The sequence below is a fragment of the Homo sapiens genome, chromosome 5 (assembly GCF_000001405.40).
Source record: "Homo sapiens chromosome 5, GRCh38.p14 Primary Assembly".
NCBI lineage: Eukaryota > Metazoa > Chordata > Mammalia > Primates > Hominidae > Homo > Homo sapiens.
This window is the reverse complement of record NC_000005.10, coordinates 24,624,706-24,645,793: the sequence shown is the minus strand read 5'-3', so window position 1 is coordinate 24,645,793 and position 21,088 is coordinate 24,624,706. Positions and strand designations below refer to the sequence as shown.

General features: G+C 33.0%; 1 protein-coding gene and 1 long non-coding RNA gene across 6 annotated transcripts in view, besides 1 other annotated feature; one reads left to right on the top strand and one right to left on the bottom strand.

Annotated features, from left to right (window-relative positions):
- Positions 1-279: 279 nt before the first annotated feature.
- Positions 280-1,085, bottom strand: LOC124901174 (uncharacterized). The gene is made up of 2 exons (XR_007059125.1): positions 722-1,085; positions 280-483 (listed from the first exon to the last, which is right to left on the bottom strand). It is a non-coding gene; the product is annotated as an uncharacterized LOC124901174 (long non-coding RNA).
- Positions 524-1,119: an enhancer, noted in NCBI's record as "OCT4-NANOG hESC enhancer chr5:24644784-24645379 (GRCh37/hg19 assembly coordinates)". NCBI's record gives its function as "activates a minimal SCP1, AML or CMV promoter by ChIP-STARR-seq in naive H9 embryonic stem cells {active_cell/tissue: H9 hESC(naive)}" and the evidence as "EXISTENCE:reporter gene assay evidence [ECO:0000049][PMID:30033119]".
- CDH10 (cadherin 10) overlaps positions 816-21,088 on the top strand; it is a 157,879-nt gene continuing 137,606 nt past the window's right edge. For all 5 annotated transcript variants that reach the window (NM_001317222.2, NM_001362460.1, NM_001317224.2 and 2 more), the window contains exon 1: positions 816-1,200. The gene's annotated coding sequence lies outside the window, so the exon portion shown is untranslated. The remainder of the gene's footprint in view (positions 1,201-21,088) is intronic.

Sequence of the window (21,088 nt, the reverse complement as noted above, 5' to 3'; positions counted from 1 at the left end):
TGTGTATATAATTTATTTATGGATGGCACTTTAAAAGGAATCTACCTGTAGCCGGAAAAATGCAAAGATGTTAATTACTTTGTGGAGCTATACTGACATCCTTTGGTAAGGTTTGGTTGATTGCAATTTGATGTGGAGATTGATAAATAGCGAGACAGTTAGATGTTTAAGTAGATAGAACAATCCAAATGTATTTACATCTGTCCACACACTCATTTGGGTATGAAACCCGTATTTATGAGAAAAAACAACGTTAAAAAGAAAAAAAAGGAGACTGTGTCAAGTTCAAAGTCTAAATATTTTAATAACACTAATTACATATTTACATTTTTAATAAAATATTTTATCTATAAAGTATTAAAATGCAAAGATTAGGCAGAGAAGACTGGCTCGCGGACATTCCAAAATGATGAGCGAGGTATGCACTCCTGTGACAATAAGCAACAAGAGAAGGGATTTGGAAAATCAAGCCGAGAAAGTTCCCTGAAAGCAAAAAATAAACATTTAAAATCACAACGAAAAATCACTCTGGTAACATATCAAATCTGGTTGCAATTTGACTTGGCGCTCTGATAATACTTGGATTTCGGTAGTCTGGTGTAAGGACGGTGCAGGAATATATATTCCAGAAGAACTATCTTTTTTTAAAAAAAATTGCAAGAAGCAGTCCTGTTCCTGAGATTGTATTACGGACACAGGCGGATTAGATTGGGCTGATTACCTTAGCCTTGAAACAGAGAGTCTTTCTGCCCTGCGGGGGAGGGGACGCCTTTCAAGCAAAGCCCTCCTCTCGGATGCGCCCTCCCCTCGCATTCACTTGCAAATCGCTGTGTGCTCGCAGAAGCCAGCACTTCCACAGTCTCTAACCTTCCCATGGCGAGTGCTGCAGCTCTATCAGCAGAACCTTTCTCTCCGTGTGAGGAAGAGCTTTTTTCCCCCCTTTCCTTTTTTTTTTTTTTCCTTTCCCCTTAATCAGAAGCACTGAATGAAAGCCAATCAGAGAGAGCTCGCCCCCGTTTTCTTCGGTTCCCTGCTGTCCAGAGTTAAAAGTGATGCTGAGAAAGAGCTTGAGTTAGATTGAAGTAGAATCAGTGATAGAAAATAACAGCCGAAAACAAACAAAAAGGGGACATAGTGACAATTTCTCCTGGGTTATTTTGGCTGGAACCAACTTCCATTATCCAGAAGCTGATAAAAAAGGTAGGAAGACTTCACCTCTTTCTTTTAACTCCGTTAAGGTATTATATATTCCTCCACTTGAGGGGTGGGGGGGGAGAGGGAGGAGATAAATGTTTGTTTTTAAGTTGTGTTTAGCAATTATTTCAAAATAATTATCTTTAATACTTAAATAAGCATACAACTCTATATATTTAATTCTAGAAACAACTGCTTCGAATATCTATATAGGCAATGTAAAGCTGGATAAATTATATATTATGCTCAACAGTGGGTCATGATATTAGAGTTTGTGAATTCATTCACTTGGAACAAATGCTAAAAAATATGTTATGAAGTGAATTTGTCATGCCCAGACTTGTTCATTTTTATTTTAAAAATCAGTTCAAGAGATAACATTGTTACTGTGAACTCTAACATCATCTAACATTACTTTGCATTCCATATGAATGGATTCACTCTGCACTTATTCGTAGTCATAGTTCATTGTACGTTCAATATAAACAGAAATGACAGGCAGAAGACAGATTCCTTGAAACTGTCAATGGTCACTAAGCATCTACATAAATACAATAGATTGACATTCATCAGAAATAGAATAGGCAGAATTCTTATTTTCAATTTTATATCTGAGTCAGAAGTATTGGGGGGAGAGAGGTAAAGAGAGGGAGAGTAAATGCATGTAGTCAGCAGTTGCAGCATTTATTGTTTCTGCTGCAATAAAATCCATATTTTATGTGTTGTTAAATTAATGCAGCATATTGCAAGTATAAATGCATGTCCCCAACAAGTAACTATTGATAGCACTGTAACTATGGGCAAAAGCAGTAGTCTGAAATTGTTTTTATGCCACTAAAATAAAAACCTACTGTCTCCTTATTATGAAAAAAGGGGAGTCTACAGGTACAAAGACAAATATTGTTTTAAAAATGACCTATCATCTTTTGCTTTGAAAAAACAGATGTTTCCTATAATTGTGGTCCTTCATTCCTTCATTCCAGTGAAAGCTTCTATTATCCAAAACTGCACATCCATTACTTCTCAGCTCTTTGGAGATACATTATTTTTTCTCCTCTTTTTTTTTTTCTTGAAGGATCTGTATTAAAAATAATCTGTCCTTCTGATGTTGACAACTGTTATACTTCAATGCATATGTTAGTAGACTTTCTCCCTCCATACCATCCCCCTCTCTATCTTCCTTTAAAACGTAGCTACAAGAGCTTCTCTGTGGTGAATAACACTTGGCAAGAGTGTGCTCATTTTTTAGGTCTGGTATGGTGAGGATTTTTAATTAGTAGAACTTTCATGAAAACATTATGTCATTGACAGAGCCGTATGTTCATTTTTAGTTAAAAGTGATGAAGAAGAAAGAAAGAGGTTATGTCCTAGAAACACAGGTAAATGCTAAGTCGCATAGATAATCTGCACCCCGCTCCCCCGAGTGTACTAAATGTGGCACATATGTATTCAATGTGCAATGCATAAGGAAGTAATGGTTTATTTGGGGAGGGATGTGGTGAAGAGACTGGAGAGTGCACAGGTGTAAACAGCGTGGATCTGTGCCTTAGGGACACGTCAGATGCAAACCCATTCTGATGATAAAAATATAAAGAAATACTTCTTTCACTTTTTTTTTTTTTGGCTGTGTTATTAAAGTGTGAGTCAATGTCTGCTTTCATTAAATCAGATACTTCTTGGGTTTCAAATACTTGCTGTGAACAAATTGACTTCTCTGGTGAATGCATACGCCTTCCCTGACTTCAATCAAAGAATAGAATTTCATACACTTAAAGGTTTGGGGGAAAAAAAACAACAAACAAAACCAAAATCTCTGGGAAATGGGAAAAAAGAAGGTAAACTGTATGAGCATCCACCTACATATGCATATGTGTGAAGTCAATGGTTAAATTGTTTGGTACCTGATTAATGCTCTAGGTGATGTTCCTTGATGTTTATAGAAACTGTTTATTAATTAGAACAGTGCTATGCAGGTAATCAATTTAATATTTCATTGTTAGATTTTTACCCACACTGGGATTTTCTTTAAAAAAGAAAAAGAGAGGATACAAAACTGATTTTAATTTAGAGTGATATTTCTGACACGTTATTTACAAAGTTAGTGTAATCTGGAAGAGGTATGTTTTTTTTCTTGTTGAAAAATAGACTACTTGAAACTGGAAAGGTTAATTCCAAAATATATGAATCTTGCATAAAAAATAGGGTGAATTTCTTGACCTTTACTTAATTTTTTATATAAGCAAATAACTGAGGCAAAGTATATACTATCTGGGGGATTTCTGTGCTTATGACTGATTTCCTATGTCTCTTAACCTACTTTGCAGTAAGTGATAACACGTCTTACTGGAATATGTCATTTTTATACCAAATCATTCCACTAGGCTGCAGCACAGCAGCAGTATTGGCTCTGATGATGCTGAATCAGCAGCAAAGTGAACCATATTCTTGTTAAGTGTTATTATCAGTAATAGTGTTTCATAGTAAGCAATTAATACAAACCAGTGATGCAAACCCAACTATCTCTAGTGTAGCCCTTGGGTATTAAAAGCATTAGCCATATTATATTCTGATTTCTACTATGCAAATTACATTCTAATACTGCTGTCACATTAGAAGTACTTGTAAAATACTGAAATTATAAATAGAAAAACAGTAAAATTATTTATGCCAATTATAAGTAATTTTATGCAGATATTTGATCTCTAAATTTCAGGTCTATGTTTGAAAACTCTACTTTCAATTAACCCAACATATTATCTGGAATAGGGTTTCAAAAGAGACAACTTACTAACCATATTGTATTTAACAGTCATGTCTGGAATAGATTGAAGTTAAAAACCAAGTAGCAAGAAACATTTCCTCATCCTTCTTAAACGTATACTGAGCAATGGTAAAATTGATTAAGCGTTATACTAAGTACAATATATGGTTCATATTATGATATTTTAAGTAGTAAAAAGAAGCGTTCTCGGAATGACACTATAGATGCATATTTGAAAAACTGAAAGTTAGCACAGACAAATCTATTTATCTTTTCTTGACACTTACACAGACCAATGAGTTCACAAAAATATATTGTTTTGTCATAATTACAATAATCTGAAATCTACAGAAAAAATACAAGTCCTAAATTTAAAAGAAAATCTGCCTTTTTCCTTTCTAGTTGAAACCTTTGGATGATATTCACGGAGCATTCATATAATTTTCTGCATTTACCCCAATAAGTTCAACCTTCAAAATTACAGATTTTTTTTTCATGCATAAGAACAAGAAACAATTTCAAACAATTACCAAGCAATGCCTGTTTTCTAAGATAACAATATCAGCTCTGGGTCGCCTGTGCCCTCTTCTTTTCTGACTGTAGAGCAGTCTCACCTCACTTGACATTTTAGTATGAGCCCTTGAGCCCTTTTATAATCCATTTCTCCTGTCTTTCTTGAATAGAAGGGCACCTAAAGCGTATAAGTCCATTTTGCTTTTCCCATACCTTCTTGTCATCACTCACTTGAACTAACTGTAGACACATATTGTCAAAAAATAAGACCCATCACATTAAATTTGTAGATTTCTGGGAATGTATTATTCTTAATGAAATATTAACAATGATGAGTTGAAATAATCTGACCTGTTTAAAAATTATTAATACAACTTTTGCTTAACTCTCTTATCAATGCAACTTCTCACAAAAAAGTAACTCTTGATTTTTTTAAGAATGAAAGTGCTTTATTTTCATCAGTTTCTTTATATTTTTATCTGATTTCTTTCTGGCAATGTATGTGATGACCTATACACTTTAAGAGACATTGGTTAAACATTATGGAACTAAAGAAAGGGAAAGCTGCAAATTAAATAAGAAGGAATACAATAAAATCACATTTTACATCATTTTAGGAAATAAAATGTAGCATTCCTTCAAAATAATGCCTGCCTGTGGGAGATTGAAATGCCTTCATATAAAAATGCCTTTCAGTAAAGGGTTTCGTATCCTTAGAGAGTTTGTCAGAAACATTATAAGCACTTTACGAAATCACATGATTTCAATTTTCAATCTTTTCTTTTTTTTTTTCAAGAAAGTAGTCTTGATTCAACATACTCTATATGATGTGATGATATAAATTAAAGTTAAATGACATTTCAAGATTCAGGACAGAATTAAACAATAGACTATAAGATATAATACAACATTGCTTCACAACAGGAAATTCAGCAATAAATGACATTTCTAAACACTTCAGAGCCCTGCTGATCCCCATAAATTTAGCAGGTCATCTTCTCCCTCTCTCTCTCTTCTACCCCATCTCTCTTTCTGCAAATCTATATCTATTTCCATCTCCCTCTCTTTTTTCCTTTTCTCTCCTTCCTCATTTAAAACAATTACAAAACTCCTTGATTAAATTTCCCATGTGCTTTAAAAAAAATTGCCCTGTTGTAAAGTTATATTTCTGTAAATCTTGTGATTTTTATGGCCAGTATTCTATCATCTGCCACATTATACATTATATTTATTACACTATCCTTTGCATTATAGCACAAAGTATATGACAGTTCAGTTGGCTAGAATCTATTCTTTTAAATGAAAGCAACTCTTTTATAAATTTTATAACACTGAGGCTTCTAAGGAGTTGAAATTGGCACCAGTGTAGTTTACTGCACTAGCAAGCCAAGTGTGGGAATTCAGCACTTATTATTGAAATGACTCCTCCAAATTATCAGAATGTAGAATGTACAGACATGAATTATTATGCTCAATGCATAAGTTATTGATTAGGAATCTTTACTGATTTACTATAAGAGAGGATATTGAAATGGTTTGACAGAGCCCTGATTTTTAAAATAAACATAAATTACATGTTTCTAGAAAGCAATGTTTCATTAGACATGTTGATTCTTCTTTGCTGCAAGAAACAAGTATTACCAGTTTAGAATCTAAAAATGAAATCTGGTATATAATGAGCAAATGTTGTAAAGAACTACCATTGCTTTTGTTTCCAGTTGGAAATTTGGGAAACAGAAACTGTAACAATAATTGAGGTAGGCATAATATGTAACAAAATGAAATAATCAATAAGCTGAATACATTAAATATTCTACCTTGAGTTATACTGGGAATTCTCTCTATGGTTAATGTAATATGTATAAATACAAGAATTAAAGTTGAAATTCAATATCATTATCTGAATAGATCAAAGGCAGCCCATATATTTGCCCTAGTAATTGGAAAATTTGGAGTAAATTTTGTACATAATATTAATACAAACTTTTAAAATGTAACTGTTTCTCCTTTCGTAAAAATATAGCTCCACTCTCAATAAAATTAAGTCAAATAAACTTCCTTTGAATCCATTGTAAATTCTGGGACTTCTGAATTAAGGAATATTTTCATAATTACTGAAGCGAACTTCAAATTTAAATGAGGCACCATAATGTTTCCAAATAATTTGTCTTCTAAAGGTAAATTTTAAATTAGTAGGCTTATTTTTTGATAGATTTGAAAATATTTAGCTACCTGAGGAATTTTAAGGGTTTTGTGTTTCCATATAAATCTTCAACCTCTAAAGTGTATTTATCAATTATTTTATATAAAATATTTTCCTTAAATAAACCAAAACGTTAAAATTTTTATACCTCTAACTCAAGTGGTTTAAATCTATTGCTAATAAGATCAAAAACATGAATTACATACTTTCAAAACCAACAGTGTGATATTGATTTGCTTTGGTGATGACCTGAAGAAAAGAAACTATTGGAGTAAAATATATGTCAACTTATTACATCAAATAAGAAGCTGATTATCCAATGATTATCTATTAGCTTAGTCAACTATAATATATTTTCTATTCTTTTTTGACTTCTTCTTAAAGCATTATAAGTTGGGGGTTAGTCCTGCTCTGTAGTCTTGAACCATATTTTGTCACCAGAGTGATTTTTCAACATGTAGTCCCTGAAGAGTGAAAAACAGCAACATGCAGATTTATTCTGCCTGCATTTGGCTCCCTAAATTTGAATATTTCTCCATGAGTAGAAACTTACAGAAAATCTTTATTTATCTACCCCCTCAACCAAGACTTTAGTTATTCCTTTGGAGATGAGTTAAAAAATGAATCCTAAGCACAGACATATACTTAGAGGCACTGTCACTTTGTCTCTTTTTCCTTTTTTTGTTTTCAACTACTGAGTGAAGAGTGGAGGTTTTCTACAGAATTTCTACACTAAAGAAGTGACTTCCCCCCCTTCTTGCTGTATGCAATTAAAAATGATAAATGAGAACTCTACTTTTTCTGAGACTTTCTTGTCTTCTAGCTAACTGTCTTTTAAAATATATATCCTAATTTTCAATAGTTAATACTAGATAGTTCTACATAATATTTTAAAAATTAATTAATAAGCCTTCACTAACTTGGGAATAGGCATAAGTACTTGCTATCGATACTTAAAAAAACGGCAGAAATGAAATACTCCTAAAATCTAAGTTGAGAAAAATATTTTCTTTACTAATTTTTTTTCTCCCCTTGGACTTAGATTTGCCATCATATAGAGTATGAAATCTGAAATCCAGCCCAGTGGAGATGAGAAAATAGATGAATGGCAACCATAATCTTGACTTAAGAGCAATGAAATTAATCACTTTGCTTTATAAGTAGAGGCTAGATCAAGCCTGTTTCTAGGTAGGTCGAAGAAGAAAAAAGTGTGGATGAGGGAGAGCCTTGTACTTCATTAAAGCAAAATGAAACTTTGCATAGGAACCGCTGTTTCCAGAAACACCCTTAGGGAAATTTGAAATTTTTGATAGTACTTAGGGGCTCAGTACTATGAATTCAAAATTCACAATCATTAAATAACTCTCTTTTGATTTTAGGCTATCATATGTTGCTATTTATTATTATATGTGTTATACTTTTTATTTTGCAGCTTCTGTTATTAATTTAACTGGTATCCTGTTATCTATACAATAATTTGCTCAATTATTCTTTAGCTCCTAATTAATTTCACTCATTTTGGGGGAAGTTACTGTGACGCATTCCCTTCTGTCACACCTGGAGATACAAGGATGAATTTAGTACAAATTTTGTCCTTGAGAAGAGGCAGGTTCTAATCTGAGATATTTATAATTAAATGTAATATAATTTACAATGGAAATATCAGTAGTTGTGCTCTAAATGTTTCCATTTTTATGAAATAGTAGTAGAATTAGATGGTAGAACATCATGGGCAGTCATGTATTCCTCCACCTACCACAGTCTTAAGTTTTCATCTTCCATTAGATATACTGCTGAAGAAACCCCTCAAAAGCATTTTATTTATTCATCCGTTCTTTCATTCCTTCATTTGCCAAGTATTATTTAAGTGCCTACCATAAGCCAGACACTGTGCAAGCATCCAGAAAGACAAACTTGGGAAGACAGGGAAAGAGGGAGAAAGAAACAAAAGTCTCTGCTACTGTGAGCCATTGTATGAATAATCACATGACTTGTTATATTCCAGCTTTGATAAATACAAGAAAGATAAGTACTAGGTGCTTTTAAAGTGACTAATATAAGGATCTCACTTATCTATATTTTTAAAGCTGCATTGTTGCATTTATAGCCATACCATATCATTAAAGAAAATATCAGAGTTAACAGTTTGGTTCAAGATAACATTTTTGTGTAGCCTAAGATTTCTTTAGTTAATCCCTGAGAATGGATTTTGAATTGGTGCTTCCCTTAGGAGCAGCCTTTTGGTTGGTGATCCGTGGTGCACTTCAAATTTGCAACAGCCAGTTATCATCTTGCAGACACAGGGGACTATGTGGGATAAAGCAAGGGCCCAAAGTTGAGACTAATATACCCATCCCCATCAAGAAACCTACAGGAGAATTATGTATCAGGAGGCCAAATGTATCCCAAATTTCTATTGCTAATTTTTTTGTTTTCTTTCTTTTTTTAACTTTTATTTTAGGTTCAGGGGTACATGTGCAGGTTTGTTATATAGGTGTATTGTGTGTTATGGGAGTTTGGTATACAGAAAATTTTTACGAACAGGAGCTTCCTTATTCCTAAAGTAATGAAAATAAGCACTTCATAGAAGCCACTGTGTTTAAAACTTGGTCACTGTGAAAAAGACTCTTCTATATAATAGTCTGTTTTTGTGAGGACACCAGAGGAAGGTCATGTTTAATAGGAGACTGCACAGTGATAAGCCTACATTCTAGAAGCACTGAGATTTCCTTTCTTAGAAAATGCAATCAACCTAACGTAAGTGCTCTCACAAGGTCCTTTGACAGATAAAAGCATGGATCGTGGCACCAGACTGTCTGGATTTAAATCCTAGCTGTGCCACTTACCATATGTTTCATATTTAATGTCACTGGTAGTTTTTTCTATCTGTAAAATGGGGTTAATAATTATACTTACATCATAGGACAATTGTCATGATTAAAATAAGCAATTACTATAGTGTCTAACAACAATGCCTAATACACAATAGGTGTTCTAGTGCTATCTATTACTGTCATTTGTATTATTATTAGATGTTAATTCATGTGACCTATGCTTAATGAATATTGAGTGTGTTGTATTTTTACCACAGCACTTAATATCATTAGGGCTACAACTTTAAAATATTTAAATATTTTAACTTGTATTATGTAATAATTTTGTACTTGAAGTGAGAAATTCTTGGTGTTTTAAGTCTAATTCTCTTACTAATTCTACGGACAATGTAATAAATTCTTCATTCTGAATTTTATTTTTGGAAAAGTGGGAGTTTGAACCAAAACATTTCCAGGCACACAGTTGACTTATCTATTATTATAATTGGAAAGGGCTCATAAGTCTATGATTGTAATTGGAAAGGGCTCAATATAAAACTTTTATAAATATATTCATTCTCTAATGATTGTGAAAATGTCAGTTGCATAAAGACTTGAATGTAACCTGAAAGCTTAAATTGCATTCTCAGAGAGGCATTGCATGAACTAGGGAATTGATGGATACGAATTTTGTAAACGATAGGAAAGACTCGAGAGGAGGAAAAATGCATAAGAAAGAGTGAAAATGTCAGTTGCATAAAGACTTGAATGTAACCTGAAAACTTAAATTGCATTCTCAGAGAGGCATTGCATGAAGTAGGGAATTGATGGATACGAATTTTGAAAACGATAGGAAAGACTCGAGAGGAGGAAAAAAGCATAAGAAAGAGTGAGACTAACTGTTGTGAGGTCCATGAGCCACATAAACTCACTCAGGTGAAACATGAGCCATTTCTGAATACACTGCAGTAATGTTTCCTTTCTCAGATTCTCCTTCTTGAGGTCAGAGTAATGAGAATTAGAAAAAGAATGGTGAACAGAGGCAGTGCATTACAGAAATTATTCCATTAACGTTTTGATACCTATAAATCTCAAGAATAATTCTGCAGTCTATATTACAAGCTGAAAGGTCAGTGGACTACCGATTACCTAGACGAGGTCCCTGAAACTGTCTGATGAAGACATAGAACCTGCTGCAAAATGTGAAAAATTTAACAGGTTTTATTTAGATCATTCTTTTCATTCTTCACATTCAAGGTGATATGAAGATCAATTTGAAACCACTGTTTCTGTTTTTTTTTTTTCCTTTTTTGGCTCTATTTATATGTTAATTTAAAAAGCATCTGGAATGGTTTCTACGGATTACATAAACACATGAAAACATACATTGAGGTCATAAAATATACATTTATATGGGTTCATAAATACGTTTTTAAAAGCTTTATTTTAAAAATCCAGGATTATATCACAGTTTTTTTCTTTCAGTTTTATTTATAGCTCAGGGATAATTAATATATTATTTATACATTCACATACTGGTAGGGCATACTTAGCACTTCATCTTGTCCAATAACTTGTAAAGATGAGGTAAGCTATAATAGAGACTCCTAAACCTAGCTGAAAGTTATACTTTGGTGAGCATAGTAAAGATAATGCTCGTATTTGCCATAGCTATATATTTACATTTATTATCTCTTTAATCATGTATTATCTGCTTAATCAGAGTCACAGTTATCTTTTTCTTATCATCTTGATTAAATGCTGTGGCCATTTTATAGGATTGTTTTTTTTCACAACTTCACTATAATATTTGGCAAAATAATTTAACCTCATGGCTTATTCATCAGGATGGCTAATTTAAAATATTCTATTAATATTACACACATTTTACATTTAGTATAATTGATCATCTAAATGTATATATACTTTTAGAATTGGACTTTACAAAGGCTAAAAACTTTGACATACTTTCTCTTTAAGTTTCACATTCTTTAATCATACTAGAGAAAAAGTTTAACTTGCATCTATTTTGCTTTCATTTAGTTGGAAGTAAAGTGAGAATAACATTGTGCAAAATTAGAGGAGAAATTAATTTTTAAAGCCCAAGAAATGGTTATTGAATAATTAATTATGCAGACTACTGAAATAATCATTTCTTTTCAAAATCCTTCAAATTCTTTAAAGGTTTTCAACCATTTCATGTGTTTTTTTGAATGTCTGAAGTTTAAAACAATATAAATTAGGCTTCACAACGTGATCAGAGGGTTGAGATGAATTTACGTTTTTGAAGTATTGACCCATTTATAGGGTAAATTGCTGCTAATATTTCTGGTAAAATTCTATTCACTTGTCCAGAGGGAAAATAACATATTTCGGTGTTGAGAGCCACCTTGTGGTCATGTTGAGAATTATTGTTCTATAGTACACAATGTTTTCTGGCTTTAGACGTTTTTCCAAGTGAACATTGCACTTGGAAGCATTGAAACAGATGTGAATTTACATTAAGGGTTATAAGATGACATTGAAAATGAATCATTTTTAAATGAATGCCATTTAATGTTTACATATTGACATGAATTATAGCAAATGTTTTACAAAATCTGCATGAAATCTTTTAAACAATATTTTTGAGGCAAGATATCATTTTTAAACTAAAATGTATTACTTTGCAGTTACAAGTAAACTCTAATGACTCATACATTTAACCTTCTCAAGGAAAAATTCCTTTCAGAATCCTCTGGTGTTCAACACAAAGAAACCAGGGGCTGAATTATTGTTATTTTTGCATTTTGTAAAACTTAAATGTAAATATGCTGCCTACAAGAAAAGCAGAGAACTAATACCAGCAAACTCTGGTCATTGAATGCATTTTTCAGTGGGTTCATTGGAAGTTCAAAGAGACAAATTTGTTTACATTTTTTTTATACATTCTAAAACAATTCATTTTTACTTTGTGTAACATACGTATTCACCAAATATCAAGCCTCTTTGACTGGGTTTTTTATAAAGTAGTAATGTACTTGCAGAAGAGGAAGACCTATAATTACTGCTTGTAATTTTACTAGTATGTACCTATACTTAAAAAGAAAATAATACAATTATTTTCTAGAAAATGAAAATAAGCATTGACCTAGGTATTTAAGTCAAGAATAGTCATTGATTGCTTATGTGGTCTTACTCCTCTTATTTTCTTTACTTTATTATCTGAAGGTAAACATGAATAAATTTGATCAAAATAAATTGTCTTTGTATATAGCTCATAGGAATATATAAGCACAAAATTTTTCCCTACTTTATTTCTATATGTATAACTATATCTATAGTGGTATCTATTTATCAATCGATCTGGATACATTTATGTTACATCCTAAAGTATCAACATTGTCCTCCTCATCATCATTATCATCATCATCATCATCATCAAAACCTGAGTAAAACTTCAGTTGTGGTGTTGGACATGGAATAGCTTAATCACAATTACAGGATACCATGTGAATAGGTTCTGTATCACCCATCTTTGGGGCACTGGGATGATTTGATTTAATTAACAGAATAGCCCTAAATGGGAACTAAAGACAAATTTATAAAATTGCATACAAATCTTATAATAATGATCTCTATGTTATGTGTTAAAGCTATGGTTGTCCATTGCTATTAGGCAAATTATTTTCTCTATTTTGAATCTGCCATACTGCCCTTTAATATAGAACAAGTGGTCAGAGCATGCCATTTCTCATGCACAGCCCAATAGTCTGACTGAAAACAAAGATTACTTTGCTTCCCATTAAACCATGCTCCTTCTGTCAACAAAAGTGCTTCTATTCTGAGATATATTACTATTGATTTGCTTTTATTCTCAAAAGACTGATGGAGTTTTTTTCTCAGCAGTGCTGCACACTAGGTATTATTTCAAATGAATATATAAAGCATTTATTTCAACTTCAAAGGGGAAACAGAAATTGAAATTGAAATGGTGTATATAAGAGTATAGAAATGTTTAAAATTTGCATGCAACCTTCTGATGATGTCATAGTCATATTTAGTGCTATATTTTAGGGCAAAGGTTTTTTGCAGAATAAATAGTAAATGGATCATAAATATAGAAAGAAGCATATGAAAGCACCTCCCAAAGTAAGTAAAAACCAAGAAACAACCCAAAATAATTTTAGCTAGAAATATCTACTTCCTTCTCAATTTTTGTCTAAAATATAGCAAACCTGTTTATACAAGATAATTATCCTCAAGTGATAAGGGAGATTTTCATAGTCAACCATCACCCTGGGACCATTTTTGAACTGCTTTTCATTTTCCACTAACTTAAGGCAAAAAATGTATTTTCTGTAAATTTCAACTTTTTTCCTCTCAAATAGAATTATTTGACAAATGATTTTAATTCTATCTGTATTTAAAAAATGATCCTTTCCTTTTGATTCCAACTCCACACTAAAGAAGAGGTTCAAATTACATCTTTCCTTCACAAGTCAACAACATTTTAGAGTTTTAATATATATATTATAAAGTGTGCTAGTAACTTGAGAAATGGATGTAGATGAGATTTTTTTGTCCCCTTTCTCAATGAAATGGAAATATAGTAGGAGAGAGCCACGTTTAAAAGTAAGTACATTGTCAATTATTTAGTGTTCTGCTTGCGATATGATTGGAGTTTCAGGAAAATGTGGATGAGGGAACATGGTCTTCTACTCATGGGAAGCTGAAGAGGGACTTGAAAGGTGAGTACTCTTTCACTGGGTATTAAAAGATGAAGCTGATGAGCCAGGAGGCATGGCTGTCTGCAAATCCAAAGACCTGGCTGAGCTGATCTGCATGCCTGTATCTCTTCCCTCTCCAATTCTTCCTGAAATATATTTTTCTTAATTGATTTTTTCCCCACAATTATCCATTCAGTGATATGTACTGATTTTTCATTATAAAGAAGGCAACACGTTAGGCAATAAGATATGATAAAAAATAAGCCATATTCAGACCTCCTGCCCTCAAATGACTTCTGGTGTTTTCCAGAGGTCAGAAATTACAATATACTATGAAAATTTCACAGAAAAGTAACATACAGGATATTATAAGAACTAAAGTTGATGACATACAGTGTTAGCTTTCCTTCAGGGATGAGATTAACCTAAGTCCTTAAGGCAGTGACACTTTGTGTTACTCACTAGCTCAGTATTTACCCTGGGTACAATCCCATTTCCAGAGGCAGTACTGCATAGTGGTAAATTGCTCTCACTGCAGACTTGAGGCAGATCTACTAAGAGTTTTACCACTTCCACCAAGGAAGGAGTTTGAAAATTTGGCCAAAGTATTCAATCTAGCTACACCTCAGTTCCCTTGTCTAGAAGATGGAACAATAATGTTGCTGCCTCCTAACTTTGCTGAAAGGATTAAATGAAACTTACAAAGCACTTGGCAGAGTATTTTTTTTTGCAATTACAAATGCCTATTAAATATTATCAGCATGTATTACTGCTTACTAGGTAATAGTCAATTTTTTTAATCTGTTCTAATACTTTCTTCATTGTAGCTTCTCTGCCTCTCTTGTAATTTGCCTCATGATATTGACAAATAGACCAGTTTTTATTTCTAGGAGTTCTGTTTATTTATTTTATTATTATTATTTCAATCTCTCTCATTTTGTTTCTATTGATCAGTCTGCCCTCGGGTTCTGGCTGCTAAAACTCACACTTGAGTTTTCAAATGTTTCTTTTTCCTTAAGATATTCTTGATATTCTTTTTTTTTTTTTTTTAAGATGATCTCTTTTTGTCACCAGGGCTGGAGTGCCGTGGCACAATCTCAGATCACTGCAGCTTCCGCCTCCTGGGTTCAAGCAATTCTCATGCCTCAACCTCTCACATAGCTGGGATTACAGGCAGAAGCTACCATGCCAGGCTAATTTTTTCTATCTTTAGTAGAGATGGGGTTCCACCATATTGGCCAGGCTGGTCTCAAACTCCTGACGTCAAGTGATCTGCCGGCCTCAGCTGGGATTACAAAGTGCTGGGATTACAGGAGTGAGCCCCTGTGTGTGGCCTCCTTAAAATATTCCCTGAGTTCTCCAGCCACTAGGGCTCTCTGGCTTTGGAAAACTCATCACTCTTAATTTATACCTCTCTTTACTGTCGATCATCATCTGCTCTGAGTTGTTTTTTGCATGCCTTATTCCTTTTGTATATTTTTACTTTCTTAAAACCAAGATCATTCTGATTTTTATTTACATCCCCAACTCACAGCCTAGTATCTCCCACATAGTAGCAGATGTTCAGTGAGGAAACTCATGCACCATATAAGTAGAACATATATTATGGTTTGCATTTTACAGACAGGTATACTAACATTGAGTAATTGAAAGATTAAATGACTCATGAGAGACACAAAAGGTGTTTTTCTTTCCACTGGAAAATATTCTATATTAGTCCATTCTCACACTGCTATAAAGAACTGCCCATGACTGGGTAATTTATAAAGAAAAGAGATTTAATTGACTCATAGTTCTGCATGGCTGGGGAGGCCTCAGGAATCTTACAATCATGGCAGAAGAGGAAGTAGGCATGTCTTACATGGCAGCAGGCAAGAGAGCCTGTGAAGGAACAAAGAGGGAAGAGCCCCTTATAAAACCATCAGATCTCTTGAGACTCATGCACTATCATGAGAACAACATGGGGAAACTGTCCCCATGATCCAGTCACCTCCCACCAGGCCCCTTCCTCAACACCTGGGGATTACAATTTGAGATAAGATTTGGGTGGGAACACAAAGCCAAACTCTATCACTTCCTTCTTTAAGCTAAAGCAATTATCTTTTTAAGAGGAGAAACTTTAAAGCAGTTTTTTTTCTTCACCTGATGAGTTTGCTTTTTATTTATTTCTTTGTTATCCTTTTCACTTAATATATACAACTGGCCTCACCCTAAGACCTATTGAATCAGAATTTTTGAAGTTATGGTATGGTGAAATATATTTTAAAATTCTTGCTGGGTGGTTTGGGTAGATTCATAATTGTAACTAGAAAATACTGAGATGTTTTTATATCCAAGCTCATAAACTGAATCTAAAATCAGTTTTAAAAGAGAAAGTTTTCTAAATACATTGAAAATGACAAGTATTTATTCCTTAAAGTAGGCTTATGGTAGAGGATATTACTCATTTTGAGAAATACAAATTATTTGATTTTTGTTAAACTGATTCTTGCTTTATAGCCATTTATTGTTTTAAACACATATTCTCTACAGAACTTTGCCTCAATGAGATGAATATAGTAGAAAAACTAAGAGACATATCTTTGAGAAATAAAATAATGCATGGAAGTACTTGGTGGCATATAATTAAGCACTATAAGAAACGAATAAAGTACTAGGATCATCAGTATAAGTAAGAAAACTGAAGTAATGCTTGGCTTGGAAAATACATAGAATGTGTGTGTGTCTGTGTGTGTGTGTGTGTGTGTGTGTGTGTCAAGGTGGGGAGCGGGGTGGGGGGGGCGGCAAGTGTTCTAGAATTTGTATTTCTGTGAGCAAAGGCAGGAATGAATATGGAAGTTTAATTGGTTACTAAGACACCAACCTGGGTTTATGCTGAGAAAATACATTTGTGAAGAAACTTGAATACAAGCTTAAAGGGTTCAGACATAATGAAAAAGTTTATAAAAGAGGTATTATTTAAAAATTTCACTTAAAAGAAGTTCAAAGAGACAAATAGGGTAAAAAAGTATCAACCTCTGTTCTTGTCATTTTACATGCATGGCTGTTGGTGTTAATATACACCCAAATACTTTCAAAGTCAACCAGAAGCTTTTCTTTCAGATAAGCCGACCTGAGGGGTGGCAATGGAATTAAACTGTTCTCCACTCCTAGCATTTTTCTCATATGTGCTCACAAATTCATATGTATATTGAATTACCACTTGGTGTCTGCAGTTTGTCTCCACTACATTTCCAGTGAAGATAGCTTTAAAATGTCTTTAATATGTTTAAAATATCATGGTTTTGGGTTGATTGCTGTATAGCATCTTCTCCCACTGATGAAAGTCTAATTGTCTCTAGTCTATGCTGTTGGTGTTCTGGTGTTTTGTAGCCGCTAAAACTACTGATGTTCACACTGATGAGTCTTTGATGTGCAAGATAGTTTTGTTTAAATCATACCTCAGTTCAGGCTCATCTGTGTAACCAGGGGAGGCAGTATTTATTTCAAACTCTGTGGTTTTTATTTCCCCTGGGAAAACAATTTGCTCTTAATCTTGTAGCTGGTCATCAGCAAAATATGATGTAGAGCTTACACCTAAAATTCCCATTCCTGTGTTATTACCACGATGCCATAAGAGTAGTCAAAGTTTTCCTCACTATAAAATAAAAACTTGGACAATATCAACTTCATGAGTTTATTTTTTTCTAATTAACTGAGATAATACATATACTATATTAGTGTGTGTGTGGCGTGCGTGTGTGCTGTGCAGTACATACTGTTCGTATATGTAAAGCTATCGTTGTGCTTTCACTAATACTGATTATATGTAGATGTTTTTTCTGCTATTAAAATGTGTTAAAGCAAATAAATAAAGGATAGCTATTATTTATTGAGCACTTTCTACATACTAGACAATGTACAGAGTGATTTGCCTCTAGTATTCCCTTTCATCCTCATGTTAAAGGAGGCAGGTGATATTATCATCTCCATTTTACAAACGAGGGACCTGAGGCTCAAAGAAGTTTAGATGACTTTCACAAATCACAAAGCTAGTAAACAAGAGAGCCAGAATGAAACTCTTATAATATGGTCCCTGCTCCTCCATTCGTAACCGCTATTGCATGTTTAAATATACATGCATGTATTCCTGAGAGGAAAAAATATGTGATCTATTATTTCACTCTATATTTTTCTTTTTATAAAATTTCTATTTATTGGTGACTTATTTTTTTCCTTTTCAATGAGAGAAAATTGCCCTAAAATTAAGTAGGATTTAAGCATTTAAGAGTACACCAAATATGTCATATTTTAAACACTGTTTTATTTTATTAATATGTAAAATCGAGTTGTCGAAATGTATTCACAGTAGTGAGAAGATTAGTATTATGTGTAAGAAAATGTCACTAAAACTAACTTAAAAGTAGCCATAAATTCCTCAGTGAACTTCATGTCATCCTTTTAGCATTATATAATAGTTTACTTTTTAAAATGTTACTGGTAGGGCAAATAAAGCATATGGTGATATTACTTAATGTGCATAGAATATTTTTAATTATATACAGGAAAATGGTCACAATGGTTGCTTCTGGGTAGAAGGGTAAGGGATTTGCATGTCTGCATCTAGAGGATTGTTTTTCACTGTACTTAATTTTTTAGAAATTGTTTTTATGAGTATGGATTAATTTTTCAATAAAATTATATATATACACTTATATATACACATATATACACATATATATACACTTATATATACACATATATATACACTTATATATATATACACTTATATATATGTACTTATACACACACACACACACACACACACATATATATATATAGGTTTTTGAGACAGAGTCTTGCTCTGTTGCCCAGGCTGGAGTGCAGTGGCATGTTCTCCGCTCACTGCACCCTCTGCTTCCCAGATTTAAGTGATTCATGCCTCAGTCTCCCGAGTAGCTGGGATTACAGGTGTATGCCAGTACAGCCAGCTAGATTATATTTTTTAATAAAAATTTACTATTAGAAATCTACATCAAAGTTATGATATAAAATAGTGTTTCTCAAACCTGATTCAAGTTGTATGACTTTGGAAAACTTTCATGTGATACTATGAATGTGTTTAATATAATCATGCTTAACGTGGGTAACTCTTCTATCAAATTACTTTCATGTTTTAGGACCTGCTTTTCCATCGTGATTATTGTCCCTTTCATGCCTCCTTGAGGCCTCTGAAAAAGGAACAGATAAAGACATACTATATATTTTATCAGTTTTTGCCAAATAAGCTTCAAATTATGTAATGGTGAATTATGAGAATTATGTAAAAATTTTCCCATATAGAGAAAAAATGAATCAAGAGTTTACTTCAAGCCTACCAATGTCTAAAACTCTCTCTGTTAGCTCCCAGTGCCTATTCACATAGTCGTCAACCACATTGTTTTGGGAACCAAAAGAATCTGATCCATGAAATTAACATGAATTTGAATGGCCATTGGTTTTGTGATTTGTGTTTGCAGTTATTTTTATTTTTTGCGTTGACTTTGTAAGCATTATAAGCACAAATGTTTATATGATAAGCTTTTAGGCTTAATTTACATGTGTTCCAGCAACATTATTCTACAATTAATTCATATTAATGTAGCAGTAGGAATCATGATAAGAGAACATGATTCAATGTAAGAGCCCAAGATAAATAAATTCTCTCTTAAAGGATAGTAAAATTTTTTCAGATCATGATTACTATATGAGAGTAATATATAATGAAAGTATTTTATTCTGCAACAAAGATTAATACTTAAAAATGTAATGAATTTTGTGATGTAGGAGAACTTTATAAATCCCTGATACCAAGAGCCTAAGATGCTTCAAAATGATGCCATGTACCAAAACCTAAAACCATGTACCAAAATCTAAACTGTACACCTAGAAGGGAAATAGCCTTTGGTACATTTTCATGTTTGTGAATTGTGAATATATATATACACATATATATTCATATTTGTGAATATATATATACACATATATATTCATATATATGAATATATGTATATATATGAATATATATATATATACAGATAGATAAATAGATTGATCTCAGTCAGATCTCGCATCTAAATTTAAAGACGTAATACACACACTTGAGAAAAATGTGTGTTCAGAGAGAGTTTATTATATCTAATCACATTGCTATAATGGTCATTTGGAAATTTCACCTTGGCCTTATGTGTAGAGTATTGCTCCACATCTACTCTTGCTATTTAGTTCATATTACTAAGACATCTGGCTTTTTAATATCAGTGCAACAATGTTCAAACTCAGGCACTTCCAATATAACTAAAGAGCAAGGAGAGTTCTGTCCTTTGACAAAGATAAAAGTGGTAGTAACAGTATATTGGGCCAATTCCCTTTAATAGTCTGGAATTGATTTATTGCATGTTTTTTATCTAAACCTTTTATGAACCTATTATATTTTCAGCCTGTGTTACTTCCATGAGCACTCTACCTAATAAATAAAGTAGTATGGCACTTCCCATTATTTTCCTATATTTATCTCTTTTAAACTTCAAAGGGTGCCCTAAGACCTAGTATAATTGAAGTTTGTGGATAGCTTGGCTTCTACACTCTTCACCTTCTTCATGATTTAATAGATGTCAGAGTTTCCAGATTGAAGATGCTAATCTTTAGGGTCTCCCTTTACAAAGCTGCTTCTTTTCTTTAATGATAGTTTAGTTGTCTTCCTGTTAGCATTTTCCAGCTCTATTGTATTTCTTTGAGGTAATACAGTTCTTTGTGTGAGAACATGCAGGCACATGGTTGATAGAAGCTAATGATAGAAAGGATGAGCATTTCAGCATATGGATTCCAGACTTGCCTTTTTCACCAATCAAGGGACCTTCAACATATGCCTTACTAC